Source organism: Homo sapiens, chromosome 9 (genome assembly GCF_000001405.40).
Source record: "Homo sapiens chromosome 9, GRCh38.p14 Primary Assembly".
In the NCBI taxonomy this organism is placed as follows: Eukaryota; Metazoa; Chordata; class Mammalia; order Primates; family Hominidae; genus Homo; species Homo sapiens.
Window position 1 is genome coordinate 3,471,045 of NC_000009.12, and position 19,611 is coordinate 3,490,655.

Below are 19,611 nucleotides of genomic sequence, written 5' to 3' on the forward strand. Positions count from 1 at the left end.
ATCTGTGATGTTGATTATTTTATACAGATGAGAGTACTGAAATTCAAAAAGATTGTGGTGCTTTGGCCCAAAGCACCAAATTACTAAACAGCAGAGCAATTCTAAAGGCAAATCTGTCCCACTCACAGCTCAGGACATTTACCCTTATATATATTAGATGCTGCCATAATAACAGCATCCATTTGTACATCACTGTACCTTTGTCACCTGTTCCCTAACTTTGTCCTCAGAACAACCCTGCAATAAAATAAGGCAAGTAATATCATTCTGGCATCATTTTACAAATAACTGAGTCTTGGAGAATTTAAATCACTTGCTCAAGGATCCTTACAGAGTAATGGTAAAGCCAAGTCTCAAACAGAGGTCTCCTAATTCCAAGTCTAGTGTTTCTTTTGTCACTATATCTGACTGTCAATTACAAGTTTGGCTTCAACATATCTTTGAAACATTTCTATGCCTACCCTGCTTAAACTTGTCTCTCTAAGTGTGAAATTCATTAAGTATAATTGAACTCATGAAAGCATTGTTTATGCCTATGTGTGGCATAATCACTTATGTTCCCAATATAGAATTACGTTTAAAATATATCTGTCTAAGACTTTTAAGAAAATTCTCACCCAGATTTTGAATGATCAAGAATAAGGTGGCTAGTTATTAGAAAAAATCCTCCTTAAATCCCAGCAAGGGGGAAAAAGGGATGCCTAATTTGGGAGTTTGTTGAATTATAAATCAGCCTTCTCCTTACATCCAATTTATAGAACAGACAGCAGTACTGCCTAGAATTCTGTCTTCACTTCTTCAGAATCTTTCTACCAAATGCACTGCGATTACTGAATGATCTTATTTAGTAAACCAGCTTCTTGCCCCTTCATTAGGTCCTAATCTAAATTATAGTATAAAGACATAGGTTTTCTACTCGTGGCTGACTTATGATAAACAGCACTGGCTGGCCATGTGGCCTGATGAGGTCCTGGGACACAGAAGGGTCTTTTTTTGGACTTTATCAGTCTTAGGGCAGGCAATTTATTTTGAGCCAGAAAAATAAAATATAATCTTAGGCCATCTGGTTCTGTAACGCACTGTATTTGTTTAGAAAGGTCACTGTTGTCAAGTTATTGAATGTTATCTCTGGAATTGACAGGAAGAGGGAAGTTTTTGAAAGAAGGCCAAGAATATTAAAGCACCGGATATTAAGGTGTAAAGCAGTATTTAAAAGCTTGGGCTTTAGTGTTAAACAGACCACAGCTCAAATCCTAGCTCCACCACTTACTACTTAAATGACCTTGGGCAAGTCACTTTCTTTCTTAATTCAATTTTCCCCATCTATAAAATCTAGATAACACACCCTAGTGAGATACTGTAATGAGAAAATGATGTAATACATATATGTCACTAGCTCATAGTTATCATTCAAAATTTATGTAATAATTATTTTCAGTATAATTTTTGTTCTAATTTTTGTTTTACCTGAAACCAAAATTTTCATTACTTTTATAAACACTTCTCCAGACAGCAAAGTATAATTCCAATACAGAATCACAATTTATACTATACAAAAGATACGGATTTAGAGCCTATCCCTAACAAAAACTTCAATCTATCGTAAGGATTTAAGCAACATTCATTTCTTTGTTAAATCAGATATGTAGCAACCATTATTTTGTCAGTGAAATGATTGAGTTACTGTGTCAGTGAAGAATGAATACTAGGCTTATCAAATCCCTATCTGAACAACTTCAGGGGGACCAATACTGCTGTTTTATTGGACAACTGCTATAGTATCCTGATGTTCCTATGCAATAGTTATTTTCTGTACATTATGTAGTTTTCTATTAATGTTGCACAGCAGTATTATGATCCAACTACTGCAGTAACGAGATGATCCAGAGTTGACTTAGACAGGCTATTCAGGCCCTTTCCTTTTGTGAGATTAGCAATGTGGTTAAAAATATAGTAATAATTAAAACACTCATTAAAAAATAGCTCAATCAAAACTCCATCTAGAATGTTGCTGAGGAGCAACAGTTTCGATTCAGCATGCCAGAGTCTGGATCGACTTATATATCCCTTAAGAATCTCAATGGTAGGCAAACACTTCACCTGTGGAATTATCTCCACACATAATTGGATTTCCCAAATCAAAGTAGGCACTATAAGCCAGGGCAAAAGCTGCAGTCTTAGGCTAGAGAAGAAGATTTCCATCTGTTTTCTACTTCAAGTATTAGCTGCTACAGAGTTTCCCCTTTGGTGTCATAATAACAGGCACATATTTTTCATATGAACTACTGGGTTCTCTTATTTCTCCACAATACTGAACTGAGAGATCTGAAAATCACTAAAAACATATTTCTAACTCTGGGGTCTAGCCAAGAAGACTACCTACAGACTAACAAAAGTCTAAAACATGCGTACTGAATTAGGGGTTATAAAGATAAATGGATCCAAGAAATATATAAGCCTACATAGAATAATACACATGAGAAGCTCTCTTGATCAAGCTTCACTTACCCAGCTTGCTATGTAAACCCACATTGTTCATTTCCTCTTTAACCATACTGACAGATGCCCACAGAATACTGAAAACTCACAGCCTGCAGGAGTCTCTCTAGCATGCCCCTCAACACTTCTGCTCCCAACTGCTGAGCTGTATATTCACTCAGAACAATATTTGTTCCAAAACCTCAACAGGGGAGTTTTATTGTTATTGTAATTAGCTAATTTAATTAAATATCACATAAACCATAAAAGCAAAAATAAAAGGTCTTGTATCTTTAAAAACTAAGTCAAACGCATTGAAAAGACTTGATAAAGGCAAGTCACTGCAAAATACTGCTGTTGAAATAGGCAAAGATAAGAGAAATATTTTTAAACCTGGGAAAAATAATAAAATATAGAATATAATGTTTCTGAAAATGTAGCATGGAAGCCAAGCATAGAATACTGAGCCCCACCTTCCATAGTTTCTGATTCAGTAGGTCTGGAGTAAAACCAAAGAATTTGCATGCTATGAAATTCCCATGATGCTGAGGCTGCTGGGCTGGGAACCACACTTTGAGAACCACTGCTCTGCAAGTGTCTCAATTTTTTAATCTATATTAAAGAAATAAAGCATAAACTGGATATGACTTGTTATAGATGTAGATTTATATAAGACTTGCAGTTCCAATCAGCAAGCCTATATTGAAAAAAAGGCCCTTGGTCCTAGTCACAAAAACAGTCTATTTATACATTTTGCACATTTCAAGTTAAAATGTTAGTGAGAAGTATGCAGCACTTTTTATGACCTACTGTTTTAACTTTTTCTATTAACAGTCAAACTACAAGAACCAATCTCATCAGAAAAGATCCCTTGTCAAATACAGACTATGAAAGTACCACTGAAGTTTCAAAGTTCCTTTACCTACACCATTTGCAAGAAGGAAATTCCGTGATTGTCTCATTGGTTATAAGACTTCCCCGAAACACAAACTCATAGAAGCTCATAATATCAATGACGCTTTTAAAATTAAAGTTAAAAGGTTTAGTATCACTGTCTCCAATTTATAGATGAGATTACTGACTCAGAAGAAACATATCTAAAAGTAAGTCAGCCAACAAGTGGCAGCCAAGACTCTGAATACAGATTTGTCTCCAGAAACAGTGCTTATTTGCCCAAACCACAAAATATTGCAGTATAATCTTTAAAAGAATCAAAGACAGGTTTGCAACAATACACCATTAGAACCCTAATCAATCTAAATGTCTGTGAAACAGAAAATGACCAAACTAGCAGCCAGGTATGGTGGCTCATGCCTGTAATCTCCGCACTTTGGGAGGCCAAGGAAGGAGAATCACTTGAGGCAACCAAGAGTTGAAGACCAGCCTGGGCAACACAGGAAGATCCCATCTCCACAAAAAGTAAAAAATTAGCTGGGTGTGGTGACACATGCCTATAGTCCTAGCTACTCGGGAGGCTGAGGCAGGAAGATTGCTTGAGCCCAGGTGATCTAGGCTGCAGTGAGCTATAATTGTGCCACTGCACTAACAGCCTGGGCAACAGAGCAAGACCCTGTCTCCAAAAAAAAAAAAAGAAAGAAAAAGAAAAAGGAAGGAAGGAAGGAAGGTAGGTTGCCAACTATAAACAGTTATAAATGGATGCTTATAAGCATTATATCTTCATCTTGAACACTGTAGGGTCCAGCCCCACAGGGTCAGTGGGTTTTTCTCCCCGTGTGCAGAGACGAGAGATTGTAGAAATAAAGACACAAGACAAAGAGATAAAAGAAAAGACAGCTGGGCCCGGGGGACCGCAACCACCAAGACGCAGAGACCGGTAGTGGCCCCGAATGCCAGGCTGTGCTGTTATTTATTGGAAACAAGGCAAAAGGGGAAGGGTAAGGAGTGTGAGTCATCTCCAATGATTGACAAGGTCACATGAGTCACATGTCCACTAGACAGGGGGCCCTTCCCTGCCTGGCAGCCAAGGCAGACAGAGAGAGAGGGAGAGAGAGAGGACAGCTTATGCTACTATTTCTGCATATCGCATATACAGCGTATGCAATAGCATACGCTATTATTTCTGCATAATATTACAATATTGTTTCTGCATATCAGAGACTTTTAGTACTTTCACTAATTTTGCTACTGCTGCCTAAAAGGCAGAGCCAGGTGTACAGGATGGAACATGAAAGTGGACTAGGAGGGTGACCACTGAAGCACAGCATCACAGGGAGACAGTCAGGCCTCCAGATAACTGTGGGCAGGCTTGACTGATGTCAGGCCCTCCACAAGAGGTGGAGTAGAGTGTCTTCTCTAAACTCCCCTGGGGAAAGGGAGACTCCCCTTCCCAGTCTGCTAAGTAGTAGGTGTTTTCCCTTCGCACTGACGCTACCACTAGACCACAGTCTGCTTGGCAACAGGCATCTTCCCAGACGCTGGCGTTACCGCTAGACCAAGGAGCTCTCTGGTGGCCCTGTCCAGGCATGACAGACGGCTCACACTCTTGTCTTCTGGTCACTTCTCACTATGTCCCCTCAGCTCCTATCTCTGTATGGCCTAGTTTTTCCTAGGTTATGATTATAGAGCGAGTATTATTATAATATTGGCATAAAGAGTAATTGCTACAAATGATTAATGATACTCATATATAATATATATAATATATACATATAATTCATATGATATTCATATATAATCATGTCTATGTAGATCTAGTATAACTCTTGTTGTTTTATGTTCTTTATTACACTGGAACAACTCGTGCCCCTGGTCTCTTGCCTCGGCATCTGGATGGCTTGCTGCCCACAGAATATAATCATAAACATCATCTATAAGCTGAACTTATTAAGTGCCAAGAGAGGATCATCAAATATAGGGCACTGGAAGGTAGCTAGTTTATCAGCATTGATGCAAAGTTTAGTATTTATGGACTGCTTGAAAACAGGGGAAGAGATGAAGTAGCTCAGTGACAGCAATCACCATTAAGATGATGCCATTAAACCAAGTCAATTTTAGAAACTAGAGGCACAGACAAACAGCACCTTATCTCTGCCTTATAAGGTAGTGATGCATTCATGTTGTATTATAAATTCCAGAAGAGAACCATATCTGTAAAACTATGAAGGAATCCATCTTTTATGTATCATAAGCCCATCAATACAACTTTATAAGAATTGCTTTATTCAGTTGTGTTTTAAATAACTGGAGAAAAAAATGTTACAAACAAAAACGCATTTATTGGAATTGACAGGAAGAGGGAAGTTTTTGAAAGAAGGCCAAGAATATTAAAGCACCGGATATTAAGGTGTAAAGCAGTATTTAAAAGCTTGGGCTTTAGTGTTAAACAGACCACAGCTCAAATCCTAGCTCCACCACTTACTACTTAAATGACCTTGGGCAAGTCACTTTCTTTCTTAATTCAATTTTCCCCATCTATAAAATCTAGATAACACACCCTAGTGAGATATTGTAATGAGAAAATGATGTAATACATATATGTCACTAGCTCATAGTTATCATTCAAAATTTATGTAATAATTATTTTCAGTATAATTTTTGTTCTAATTTTTGTTTTACCTGAAACCAAAATTTTCATTACTTTTATAAACACTTCTCCAGACAGCAAAGTATAATTCCAATACAGAATCACAATTTATACTATACAAAAGACATGGATTTAGAGCCTATCCCTAACAAAAACTTCAATCTATTATTCAATCTATTTGTACATGTCTTTCATAATGCCTGTAGTTACCTTTAACCATTCCTCTTTATTTCTTCACACGGATTAAAATTTACCATTAAGTGTCCTTTCATTTCAACCTGAAAGACTCCCTTTAACATTTCTTAGAGTTCGTGAGAATCCTTTCAGTTTTTATCTATTTGGAAACGTCTTAATTTCACTTTCAGTTTTGAAGAAAAGTTTAGCTAAATAGAGAATTACTGGTTGACAGTCTTTTACTTTCAATGTTGAAAATGTCTTCTAGCCTCCAGGGTTTCTCGTAAGTCAGCTATTAAGCCTATTGAGGATTCCTTGTAACAAGTCATTTTTCTCCTGCTACTTTCAAGATTTTTCTTTAAATTCAACTATGATGGGTCTAGGTATGGATCACTTTGGGCTTATTCAACTTGGATTACAGTGAGCTTCTTGGATGTGTAGCACAGAGTAATATTTTTCAGCAAGTTTGGAAAGTTTTCTGCCATTTTTTTTTAAATATTCTTTCTGCCTCATTCTCATCTTCTGGGAATCCTATAATGTCCATGTTGGCACAACATTTAATGGAGTCACATAAGTCTTTTGAGACTCTGTTCATTTTTCTTTCTGATCCTCACATTGAACAATCTCTATTGACCTAACTTCGAGTTAAAAGATTCCTTCATTTGCCAATTTATATCTGTTGTTGAGCTCCTCTAGTGAATTTTTCATTTCAGTTATTATACTTTTAAGCTCCAGAACTTCCTTGTTTTTTAATAATTTCTATCTTTATTGATACTCTTTCTCTGGTGAAACACCATTCTGATGCTTCCCTTTAATTCTTTAGACATGGTTTCATTTAGTTCTTTGAATGTATTTGTAATAGCTAACTTAAAGACTACAAAGTCTAAAATCTAGGCTCCCACAGGGACTTTTTTTGTTCGTTTTTTATTATTTGTCTCTGTGTGTTTTATTTCCTGTTTCTTTGCATTTCTCAATTTTTGTTAAAACTGAACATTTTAGGTAATATATTTTAACAAATCTCATATCAGATTGCTCCACATTATTCCCCTAAATTTTTTAATCATCAGTGTGTTGTTTTTCTTGATGCTGATTCTTTAGTACTTTCATGAACGAATTTTACAGATCCTGTATTCCCCGTAGTGTGTGGCCACCGAGTTCTCTGCTAGAACTTTTTTTTTTTTTTTTTTTAGGATCTTGTTTTTATTTGTAAGCCTGGCTTCCAAGAAGTCATACCTGGACCAGTAAAATGTAGTAGTCAACCAATGATCATTTAAAAGATTTCCTTAAATGCTTTGCCTATATGTCTTCTACCTTTTGCCAAAGAAATCTTCATGAGAAGTCATACCTTCAAACTTCAGGAAGCTTACAAATAGCACTGATTTTCACTTCCTGCTTACACAGTGCCTCAAGATCAGTCAGAGGTGACATTCTCCTTTCCCAGGTCATTTCCGGGCATGTGTACAGACTTGCACATTGTACAGCCTTTTAAATACCCAGGAATATGCCAGAGCTTTCCAAAGTTCCCTATAGTTGGCTAGTTCTCCAGACTTTCCTTTTAAATTCCTGGCCAGATTCTTCCTTTGCCTCAACTGAAATCACAGCCTTAGGCAATTGACATTTTGCCAACAGTTTGCTATTGTTTCAGTAATGCCCTGGGGGTAAGCTTTTTCTTCCCCCAACTGAGCTGAGTTCAGAGTCAAATCAAATATCCAGCCACTCTCTCTGAAAAGAGTTTTCCCAGGGAGCTGCAAGTTGGGACAAAATATTAACTGTGCTCTGGGGATAGTGCCTTCAATGGGGCTCCAGAAGTGGTCAGCTCTCTCCATTGTCTGCAATACTGCCAGCTTTTAGCTACACCACTAAGCTGGAGAGAGAGATGAGAATAACCCCAAGTTAAAATATCGCAGACCCCACTGGTCTTCCCAAGATTCACTAGTTTTCTCTTGGACAGATGATTTTCAATTCATACTCCTGCTTAATTGCCAGAATTCTAAAATGGCTGATTTTCATTATTTTACCCATATTTTTGTTGTTGTATAGGCAGCACAAATTCACTGAGGCCCTCACTCCACCATTCTGGAAGTTGATCAAGTTCTGTAATATTCTGAATTTATAATTTTCAGGACAAAAAGATCTTAACCAAAAAAAACAAACCCTCACTTAGTTTGATTTTTTAAAAATATACTTAAAATTTTTAGATCACTGATTCTTATCTCTAATAGAAACTTATGAAAAAAATCTGTATTTCAGTACTTAAATGAGAGTGAAACAGATCTGTGAGACAGGAAAAAATAAACTGCATAAACAATTTATCACATCTTTCCTGTTAACTAATATGTGAATCATCAAAAACAAAGGTGATTACTGGTCTCAGAGCCACTCTCAGTCCTAAACGGCCTCTCAAATCTTTTGGGGACAACAGAAACAAGTAAAAGTGAGGAGGAAAGCCTAGTCCATCTTGTCTTACTTGGCTGACTGAGGCCAAAACCAACTATACTCTGATAGTAAGAAATTTTTTTAAAACCACAGAAAACTGGAAGTGGGAAATCGACAGAAAAGAAGAATCAGATACTTGACTTAGGAGGCAACCCTATCTCTTGAGATTTCTCTGAAGAGACTCAGAACAGAGATTGAGTTTACCTCAGATTCACCCAAGTATAGGCCAAAATCGCGGGCTTCTGGAAGAGAAAAGAGTTGTTCATTACTATTTCTCTTTTGTTAGCTGGTATTGGCAAGCCAAGGAAAGACCAAAACTGTCAAGGTAGGCCGAGAAAAGTAAACATCTTTTAGCAAGGCTTTTATTTTCAAGAATATTGTCGCATGTTTCTTTTGCTTTTCTTTTGTTGTGTAACAAACCACCCCAAAACTTACTGGCACAACAACCACCATTTTATTTGGTCATAATTCTGCAATCTGAGCAGGGCTCAACTAGGCAGTTCTTACAGTCATCTTGCTGGTGGTCATTCATACTACTGCTTTCAGCCAGCAGGTGAGAAATGAGATCAGCTAGGATACTAGCATGGCTAAGCATCTCTCTCCATGTAATCTCAGAAATTCTCCCTCTCCATGTGGCCTCTTTTCCACTGGGTCTCTCTAGGAGAACGGTCAGATTCTTACATGATGATCCTCTCTCTCGAAAACACAAAAGCATAAGTTGTCGGGCCTTTTTGCACCCAGACCTGGAAGAGCTTTAATCCCTTTGCATTCTCTTTGTTAAAACAAGCTACAGGCCCAACCCAAACTGAAAGGAAAGTGACTTCACACGAGCATGAATGCCATCAATGTAATAGACAACTAAAACATTCAGGCCAATGTTCAGATGACTGGAATGGACACAACCACAAGAAACTATAAAATGGCTAAAGCTTGAAGACTGAGCAATTATAGTCAGATTCTATTCTCTGTTCTTTCCCACAATGAGAGTCAATCTACGTTCACCAGGAATCTTAATTATAAGTGGAACCTGTTAATCACTTAAAAGCCATATGACCTTAGACAAGTCAATTAATCTCTCTAAGCTTCAGCTGCTGTATTGTAAAACAGGAAAAATTATACATGCCCTGCCTGTCTTAGAGGAACGCTGTAGAATAAATAAGAGCTTTGAAAGCTGTAAACTGCTATACAAATATAAGGAAATATTATTTAGCTGACAGGATGGTAAGTATAATCAACCTAGCTAGGCTCCATTCTCCTCCCTATTAATAAAATTATAACCATCATCAATTACCCTATATGCTAAATGACTACCACAGCAATATTATATATAATAGCAAGCTAAAATTACATTATGTTTTGTTACTATGAAGAATAATAACACTAACTACAATTTATTATTGTCCAATTATATGTCAGGTGCTGTTGGTTACTTTGGATAATCTATAACCCTTACAATAACTCAATACGGTAGGTATTATCCCTCATTTACAAATAAAGAAACTGACACTTGGCTACTTTAAGTAACCTGCCCATAGTTACACAGCCAGCAAATGAAAAATCCATTCTTAGCATCTAATGCCTAATAGGCACTTGATAAATATTTGTTGGATAAATTAAAGAACAAATAAAGCCAAGGCTATCTGGCTTTAATGCAACGTTGTTCAAATATATCAAAGGATTTCTCTCTCACAATCCTTATTTTTATATACAGCTATTAAAACTGTAATCATAGCAAACACATCTAACTAACATGAACAATTTAACCTTCCACATCAAGAAAATAGTTTCCCATCTGAAAAGTACATTTTTTAAAAAAAAAAATCTAATATTTAACCTATCTAATGAATTATTTTGAATTATAATGATCATGTTATAATGTGGGGACATCAACTGGAATAAAAAGCAAAAAAAAATTACATACAAAAATCACTAAAACAAAAAGAATCATATTTTTAAACTAAAAAAAAGGTGCATTATGGATCACAAATTTCCATATCCTATAATATGAAGAGATCTTGAAATTTAAGAAGAGGAAAAGAAACTGCCCAGCAGAAAAACAGATGGAAGATATAAATGGAAACTCAACAAAAGAAATATGAACAGCTAATGAATTCTTTGTATTTTTGTCATTAGTTATTGAAGAAATGCAAATTCAAATAGATTTATTCAACTATTCGATTGCCAAAATAAAAAAAATAAATAAAAAGACTGATTATATCCAGTGTCAGAGTAAACAAAGAAACAAAACATTAAAGCATTATTGCTGGGCATATGAAATGGTACAACCTTTCTAGAGAACACTCTGATAATTGATAAAAATATTCTAAATGTACCCAGCATTTACTCAGCAATTCCACACCTAGGAATTCATATAAAGAAAATAATTGGACAGCTACACAAAGATGCACATACATGCCAAAATACTGTATAGGATACCACCCAAATGTCTACGTAGAGAATTGTTTAAATACATGATACATACATACAATGCTAATAAAGATACAAAATTTTATTCATTACCATTAAAAGATGTTCAAAATATGAGTGTGAAAGTAAAAAAAAAATGGTATGACCCAATTTTCATAATAAACTTTGATTTGTAGGAGAAAAGAGCACATACACACACAAGCAGAAGCACACCCAAGAGTGCCAGAGTGAGCACATATGCACTCACGGAGAAATCCCGAGAAGACATGACAATAATGCTCAAGCAGATATGTAGTCATCTGTGAGCACAAGAACATACATATTTTTACTTTCTTTGTACGTTTCTGTATTTTCTGAATGCTTCCCATTAAGCATATATAAACTTTTATAATTGCAATTTAATAAAATTGTTTTCACTTAAAATAATGTCAACTGTCATAAGCATGAACAGGTTCTGTGAACTTTGAATGTTAATTACGTTTAATATAAAATATTGCCCAAAAAGCAGCTGATATGGATACTGAATGAAGATTTACATTTTATTCCTTTTTCAAACGATGGATTCAAAATCATAAAACCCTCATAGTTGTTTCTATTCACATATATTAGAACTGGGAATTTACTGTAAAATGTCACTTAAAAATGAAAATGAAACAGATATGTATAAGTGTTACAAGATATGCTAAGTGTGCTATATTATATGTCTTTGAATAACTTGCATATGTAAGGGCCTAGAGACCTTGATTCTGTAACTGAAAAAAAAAATCCAGCATCACTTGGTATGTCCACTTGGGAGCTTATTAACTTATGCTTATTATTTACACAGTATAATGGGAATTCTCAATTAGCTATGGGTAGACTATCCACAACCAATCTTGCTTTTGAGTTTAGCCATTGTACCAAGAGTATAAGCAGTTTAGCTATTTGCTTCATAGATCTCTCAGCTGTTTATTTTGCATTATGCCAGGATTCAGCAAAAATAAATACTTAAAATCAATTATTCCACTTGGATAGTGGATGGGCAGGCAAGTGGGCAGCTACTACTCTCAGGGCTGAGCCTGAGTATCACCCAGATACACCACTACCCGACCCCCAAACAGAAGACTTTGGGAAATGTTTAGGGTCATTTTAGTTGTCACAATGATGCAGGGAGGGGAGTGATTCTAATGCCATTTTGGCCCAGAGATGCCAAATATGCTGCAACATGGGGTACCCCACCAAGATATGTCCAATCTATAATAACAATAGTGTCCCTGTTGAGACAGGTACCATTTTCTTGCTCAATGTTGTATTTCCAGACTACTGCATAACAGGTATTAAATAAATATTTGTTGAATAAAACCAATATATGCAATTTATGGCACTGAATGAGACACAGATAATACAAAGGAGGGAAAAGAAGTGACAACAGAGAAACCAGATTCTACCTCTACCTAAGACAGGCCATAGTGGCCGGGCTCTGTTATACTTAGGGGAACTCTATAATCAGACACATTGATACCTAAGATACTTATAAAAGCACAATAATTCACATTGAAATCCAGATTATAGATATCCAGGTATATGCTTTCCTCTATTAGTAAAGATCAGCAACTGTATCAGTTGAAGACATACATACCAGTGCCAATCTTGCCGTGGCAACACTAGTTTAAGAATACGGTTTCTGGGGTAAACTGCTGGGTTTGAGTCTGATTTTATACATGCATTACCTGAGTAAATTACTTGATATCTTAACATAGTATTTATAAACTTGGGAATTTACCTCATGTCTTCTAGTATAAACCTTCTCATCTACAAAAATGGAGTAACGAAACAAGTTCACCACCCCCTACTCTAAATCTATGGGCCAGATATATTACACAACTCAAAATTTTTTGAATTTTGTGAATACCAAATATATATATAACATCCCAGGTGAATATAGGGCAGCAACTCATAATCATACACACTAATGTTTCTGTAGCAAAAAATAAAAACAATGTTGCAGATGTAGGATATATAAAGACCTTTACATAGCTTCATCTCACTTAGTTCAGGTTTTTCAGCCAAATTAGTTTGCTATAAATATAGGAAACCATTTTCAAACCCTTTGAATTTCAGAAATGAATATAAAAGATCATGGATATATAGAACCTACTGCCCTCGGAGACAGCACATAAAAATTAAATGAGTTCATATAAGGTGCTTACCTCAGTGCCTGGCACACAACTAGCACTTAATAAATACTAGTTATTGTTATGAATGTTAGCTAGCTAGTGTATGAAATACAAGACAATGCAAGGTAGCTAAAGGAGTCAGTAGACTTACAGAGAAAGGGGTGGGTAGGGATGAGGAGTGGTCAGAGGGACCTAAGATAACTACGCTAATCAAAATAAAACAAAATGAGAGCTGATTAACCATAAATTGCAAGAAAATAATGTATCTGCCACATTTAACTCTTAAGTACACATTTACTTCCTTTTGATAGATGGGAGTTTCTCCAGAAGTTAGTATCTGAAAACATTTAGTATTTTCTACTTCACATGTGGTTTTCTACTTACAACTCTGTGTAGCTTTCTTACTAAAAGCGGATCAAGTTTTTGAAGATTTTTAATCAAGGTAGGACCAAAACTGGTTTCTCCCTAAGGTAATAAAGCAATTAAGTTTTTGTTGCCTACCACAGAATATAGTAAAATTTGGGCAGTTAAATAGTAAACAAAGGCTGGGTGCAGTGGCTCAACCTGTAATCCTAACCCTTTGGGAGGCCAAAAAGGAAGGCTCACTTGAGGACAGGAGTTCAAGACCAGCCTGAGCAACATAGGGAGACACCCCCCCCCACCCCATCTCTACAGAAAGAAAAGGAAAAAAAAAAGCTGGGCATGATGACACACCTCTAGTCCTAGCTACTTGGGAGGCTCAGGCAGGAGGCTGAAGCGGGAAGACTGCTGGAGCCAGGGAGTTCAAGGCTTCAGTGAACTATGACGGTATCACCGCACTCCAGTCTGGGAAACAGAGCAAGAGCCTATCTCAAAACAAAATTAATTAAATTAATAGTAAATACAAAAAATAAAAATAAAAAACATACTGAAAACCATTTCCCCTTGGAAATGACTGGAGTTAAATCTGCCCCTATACCACCTCCCTGTTCTATTGGTTTTTCCTAACCCAATCTACTGAAGAAACTTTTACATTTATATAAGAAATGAATGAAACTATTACTTCTGAAGCACTATTCTGTGCCAGGCACTGGATTACACACTTTGCATAAGTCCTTTACTTAATTTTCACAAGTCTTCAAGGTAACAATTAATGTCCTCATGTTACATAAGAATATTGAATTAGTAAGTGAGTGAACCAATAGTCAAACTCAGGTTTGACTCACTCAAAAAGCCATGAGCTGCTTACGCTAGACCACTTTGCCAAAGGATACTGCTTCATTCTAACATTGTTGACTAATTTTTTGCTTCCCTCTGTATTTGTTATCAATTATTTTTAAAGTGTACATAATACGGAATTTGTAATCTCTCTCAGAATAAAAGAATTTTAGTTCTGTCTATAATCCCAAATTTGAAATGAACTTGTAATTTTTATCTTAGTTTATCTCTGAAAAACAATTTAAAATCTGCAAAAATTACATGCATCATCTTTAGTTATAAGAGAATATTCATAAATACATAGCAATACATTTCCAAGCAATTAGCATCAGAATTATAATCCAAGAACTTTAAACCTGGTAAAGACTTTAAGAATAATAGATATTGGCTGAGTGCAGTGGCTCACACCTGTAATCCCAACACTTTGGGAGGCCGAGGTGGGCGGATCACCTGAAGTCGGGAGTTCGAGACCAGCCTGACCAACGTGGAGAAACCCTGTCTCCACTAAAAATACAAAATTAGCCAGGCATGGTGGCGCATTGCCTGTAATCCCAGCTACTCAGGAGGCTGAGGCAGGGGAATCGCTTGAACCCAGGAGGCGGAGGTTGCAGTGAGCCGAGATCATCCCATTGCACTCCAGCCTGGGCAACAAAAGTGAAACTGTCTCAAACCAAAAAAAAAAAAAAAAAAAAAAAAAGAATAATACAGATATTATTTAGATGAATTACTAACTATTCTGGTCTTAAAAGATTTTTGTGGGGTATGACCTACCAAATATCCCTCTCTACCCTACTCCAGAGCCCAGTGAACTTTTAGGGACTGTCTTTTTTATGACAAATAAAAATCACCCTTTCTAAAAGCTTTCAAGGCAACAAGTTACGGCTCTCTTTAACATATTATGCTGCTTTTATCGATTTTAGCTGGGAGTTTGGAACAAAGAGTAAACAGAAATACAAATAAATTTGAAAACTAATTTTAAGTTCTTTCCCCTCCTTTCCTATACAAAATAGTTTCCATGGCTCCAATCTTTTCTCACTGCTGTCAATACCCATTTTTTCTGCCCTTTTCAGTGTCTCTCCAACTGCTTTATGTCCAGAATAAGCTATGGACAAAATAATGAAACTTTATTAGTTCAGAGTGTTTAGTTTAGTACTCTCAACTAAATGCTCAAAGACCAAGTTAAAGAAAAATAATAATCACCAGCTTTTGAATATTAAACTCCGGATTCATGCTCATATCTAAAAGTACAAAATTGCTAATACATATTCAATTTGTAGAATGCTATGATTTGAGTCTAAACAGTTACTTCGAATTTGTGTGATTAACTTCTAACCCTTATTAAACGTTATCATGTTTTTGATGGGCCCCAGATACGATTTATTTTCTATGTGCACATAAGTAATTTCATAGACTGTTACAATAAGATTTAAATGCACATTTGGGTAAAGTGAAAACATATTTTGGAACTCATTATTATCAAAGACTCTAGAATTCTACAATATGAAAAGGGAGCCATTTCTAGAAACTATTACCATTACTCATAAATGCTATCATAACCTAGAATTTTCTCTTTTTTTTTAATAGAGACAGCCTCTCCCTGTGTTGCCCAGGCTGGTCTCCAATTCCTGGGCTCAAGGGATCCTTCTACCTTGACATCCCAAAGTGCTGAGATTACAGGCACAAGCCACCATGCCCGGCCTAGAATTTTCAAAGTTCTATAAACAGACAATAGCTTATGGAAATTACTTTTAACAACCAATGTACTTAATTAAATACCAGGCTTGGGGTTATGAAATTCAAGCAATATTTTAAGCTGTACAAAGAATGAGGATATTTACTAATGTCATTTTAAGCCCAAGACATGCTATGTTTAATATGGACAGTTTCTATTTTGATTTTTATAATTTTTCACATTTACATTTTTAAAACTATACTACTCTTTAAAGACCAATTGTTATTGGCCCTGGTAAAAGGTTAGTAACTTGTATATCCTGTGTACAGTATTAAGTCAGAAACTATTAGTTGGAAAGCAATAAAAGTAAAGTAAACTGCCAAGAGTGTAATTCTTATTTCTATATCCACGATGCCATTAGAAAAAGCAGCATATAACTTTGATCATCACTTCTAGCAACTGCAATAACAAAAAGAGAGGTATAGATTACTACTCTAATTTACAGTCCTTCCACCTAGAAAAGCAATATAGAGAGCAGCTTCGAAACCCTGTCTCCCAGTAAAGTACTACTCAGAGTCCTAATTTAAGAAAAGACAAAAATGGACCTGCTCTGCTTCCAATTATCCCTCCAAAGGTGTCCCCTGAAAATTCAAGTTATTAAAAATATGATTTAAAAATTATTAATAGAGTAGATACAAATTCTAGAGTAAGAGTCAAAAGATCTGGAAAAGTGTTTCTTGACCTTTCTATCTCAAGTTTCCTCATCCTAAATTTGGAAACAATTCCTTCCCCATATAACTTACTGTTGGGAAAAGCTAAATAAGATGCTACACACAAAAGAGCTTTGTAAAGCATGACCTTTGTGTAGCATGACCTATTGAAAATATGAGGCGTATTATAATTACTGTTCTATAGGCTAGGCAATATTTTAAAATAAACGTGCTTCTTTTCCTACCACTCCCGTTCCCAAGATACTTCCTTACTTCACATACTACAAAGGAGTTTAATGTTATCAAAATGAAAAGAGGTCCAAAAATCAAATTGAAAGAGAAAAAGAGGGAAGGAGAAACACATATAGAATTGTTCTCTACTGCTTCTCTCAGATAATTTAAGATAAGCTCATTTCCTATTACTTTACCAAGAGAAGGACTTCACCAACACATCTATTGATTAATTTCCTCTAAACTATTTTTGATAAATAAGTTTGTAAGTACTTTTAATAAAAGTATACTATGGAAACGCTTTTCTGCAAATCCATAAAAAGATTCACAATTATTAGGTATAATATCAATGTCCATAGTCAGATATCTTCAATCATGAAAACTCAGTGATAAGGGAAAAGAACGTCCAACTGGTTTGTTTGACACAGACAACTCAAATGGTTTGAGAAATATAATAAAACTGTAATTATTTCCTAGGAAAACTACTTAAAAGAGTTAGTACTAAGTCCCTTTAAATATACTACCTATGATAAAGATTATTGTAACTCTGAAATTGTAACTTCTATACATAAATGCAATTACTAACTATAAATAATGTTGTCAAGGCCTTAGACACAAAACTACTCAATTTCTCTTTCAACCTTATATCCATAAAATTGTAGAAAATGCATAGGGGAATTTTTGATGTACTTTACAGAGGACTTACGCAGAACCACAAGTTTGAAATGGAGGTTACAGCTTCAGCTTATTTCTCTTGAGCTTTGTCTCTTAACTAGCAGATTGAGTGTTTATCTTCCCAAAGAAACTAGAGTATCCTCCATGGCTGCTAAAACAAAGACCATATATCAAATTGAAATAAGGAGTACCTTGTTCCCTGTGAAGACTGATGGATTCTATTTCATCATCACATCTTTGATTGAAACAACATGAACACAATTTTTAGAACTTAGAAATTAAAGTGTAGTATTTAAAGATAAATTATTAATACTTTTCAAAAATTTACCAGATTATACATGCTTAAAAAAAAGTAAATCACATGATTATTTTTAAATAATACCAATTTTAATAATATAAGCTTCATTTATTAAAAATTAAGAAACATTAAAATAGCAATGTTTGATCATCCTCAATGGGCTGGCAATTGCATTTCAACTCTTTGGAAAGGTAAGGAAGTAATTTGGATGCAAACATAACCTCAAAGACCAATGATGACAGCTTACAAGTACTCACAGACACTATGCCTATCCCTCTGACACCCTTCCCACCTATCCACCCCACCCTGACTCCTGCTTTTTTCACCTTTCTGAATGGCAGTGGAAGGCCTGTCTTTAAAGTACTGTTTGTAGTGGAAGCAGAAGTTCACACAAACAAGCTGCTGCATCTTCCTACATAACAAAACTATTATTGAGTAGTAGAGTAGGGGAATTATGACATCAGCAGTATATTAACCAATTACTCTACCAAATACTTAATATCTACTGATAAGCCTGCTACTGTATCATTGGCTTAATTTCATAAAGTCAACTATTATTTTTCTACCTTTAATTGAAACTTCCTTTGATATAGGCTTAATGTTTAGTCTATGAAACCACTATGAAAATATATGTGGCATATACACTTATTTGACTGCCATTTTAGAATGACAAACCCATACATCACACAGGGTCACATATGGGTATCAAAGGACAGGAAAAGACTAACCTATGAGTCTCATATTTGTGCTCTCAAAGCACTCTGAGTAGTGCCTGAAAATTTTACATTATTGGAGTTCCAGTGCTCTTTCTTTATTGTTCCTCTATAAAACTCTGTGTGGCAGTTATGACTTTTAAATGCAGCATGACCTTAATCCTACCTGGGGCAGGATTGGTTGGGATGGGAAGTTGGTAGGTGGAAAGGAAGGAATTCTCTTCTGGTTTTTACAGCACCACCGAAAGCTAGGTTAACTGAAGCATTTAAAAATATAAACTGAAAACACATAACTATGTAAATAATACTGTTTTCTTGAAAACATATATAGTAGTGATAGAAAATAAAGTTCTTCACCATATTAACTATTGCCAACCATCAAGAAAGGAAAAACATCAAAATATGAAAAAAGAAAATTACTATTGAAAAAATTCAGACATGAGACTCCATATATGACATCTGAAAATACTCTGTATTATGTACACACAGTTCATTATTTATAAAGAACATGTGTTCAAATTACCTCATATTCCTTCCAGAGCCAAACTCAACGTATTCTCTACCATAAAATGCCAGAATGACCAAGTGGCCTAAAATATTAAAAGCAAGAACAATTAGTTCACATTAAAAATGAATTTTTTGATATGTAGAAGCCATGTGACTATTTAAAATTATTAAGTTTATAGATAAGTATTAATTATATTAATTACATAACTGAATTATTTTAGAAGTATTTCTTCACATGAATGCACTGATATTTTTAGATGTTTCTGATTTAGCCAAAAAAGATACTGTTTTTGATTTTACATGAGAGAATTTTTAGTTTTCAAAGAACTATAATTCAAAGAATAATCATAGTATTGTAATAATAAGAAATATAAATTAGGGGAAATCTCAGAA

At 35.3% G+C, this 19,611-nt stretch overlaps 1 protein-coding gene across 28 annotated transcripts in view, besides 4 other annotated features; it reads right to left on the minus strand.

Annotated features, from left to right (window-relative positions):
- RFX3 (regulatory factor X3) overlaps nt 1-19,611 on the minus strand; it is a 307,705-nt gene that overhangs the window by 252,748 nt on the left and 35,346 nt on the right. For 7 of the 28 annotated variants that reach the window (XM_024447631.2, XM_024447630.2, XM_047423688.1 and 4 more), the window contains one exon: nt 18,325-19,301. The exons of 12 other annotated variants lie outside the window; for them this stretch is intronic. In XM_024447631.2, the coding sequence (XP_024303399.1) occupies nt 18,325-18,406 (82 nt within the window). In that variant the 5' untranslated portion in view covers nt 18,407-19,301. Of the gene's footprint in view, nt 1-17,731; nt 17,852-18,324; nt 19,302-19,611 lie in introns of those variants that run through there. 9 more of the 28 variants (XM_006716844.3, XM_047423692.1, XM_017015000.3 and 6 more) reach the window with 5 other exon arrangements.
- Nucleotides 865-1,159: a silencer, noted in NCBI's record as "tiled region #5337; HepG2 Repressive non-DNase unmatched - State 23:Low". NCBI's record gives its function as "represses a minimal TATA promoter and a strong SV40 promoter by Sharpr-MPRA in HepG2 cells {active_cell/tissue: HepG2}" and the evidence as "EXISTENCE:reporter gene assay evidence [ECO:0000049][PMID:27701403]".
- Nucleotides 4,558-4,707: an enhancer, noted in NCBI's record as "active region_28139". NCBI's record gives its function as "activates an Ori minimal core promoter by ATAC-STARR-seq in GM12878 lymphoblastoid cells {active_cell/tissue: GM12878}" and the evidence as "EXISTENCE:reporter gene assay evidence [ECO:0000049][PMID:35858748]".
- Nucleotides 7,227-8,426: an enhancer, noted in NCBI's record as "MED14-independent group 3 enhancer chr9:3478271-3479470 (GRCh37/hg19 assembly coordinates)". NCBI's record gives its function as "activates an origin of replication core promoter dependent on BRD2, BRD4, P300/CBP and CDK7 cofactors, and independent of MED14, by STARR-seq in HCT116 cells {active_cell/tissue: HCT116}" and the evidence as "EXISTENCE:reporter gene assay evidence [ECO:0000049][PMID:35650434]".
- Nucleotides 7,449-7,498: an enhancer, noted in NCBI's record as "active region_28140". NCBI's record gives its function as "activates an Ori minimal core promoter by ATAC-STARR-seq in GM12878 lymphoblastoid cells {active_cell/tissue: GM12878}" and the evidence as "EXISTENCE:reporter gene assay evidence [ECO:0000049][PMID:35858748]".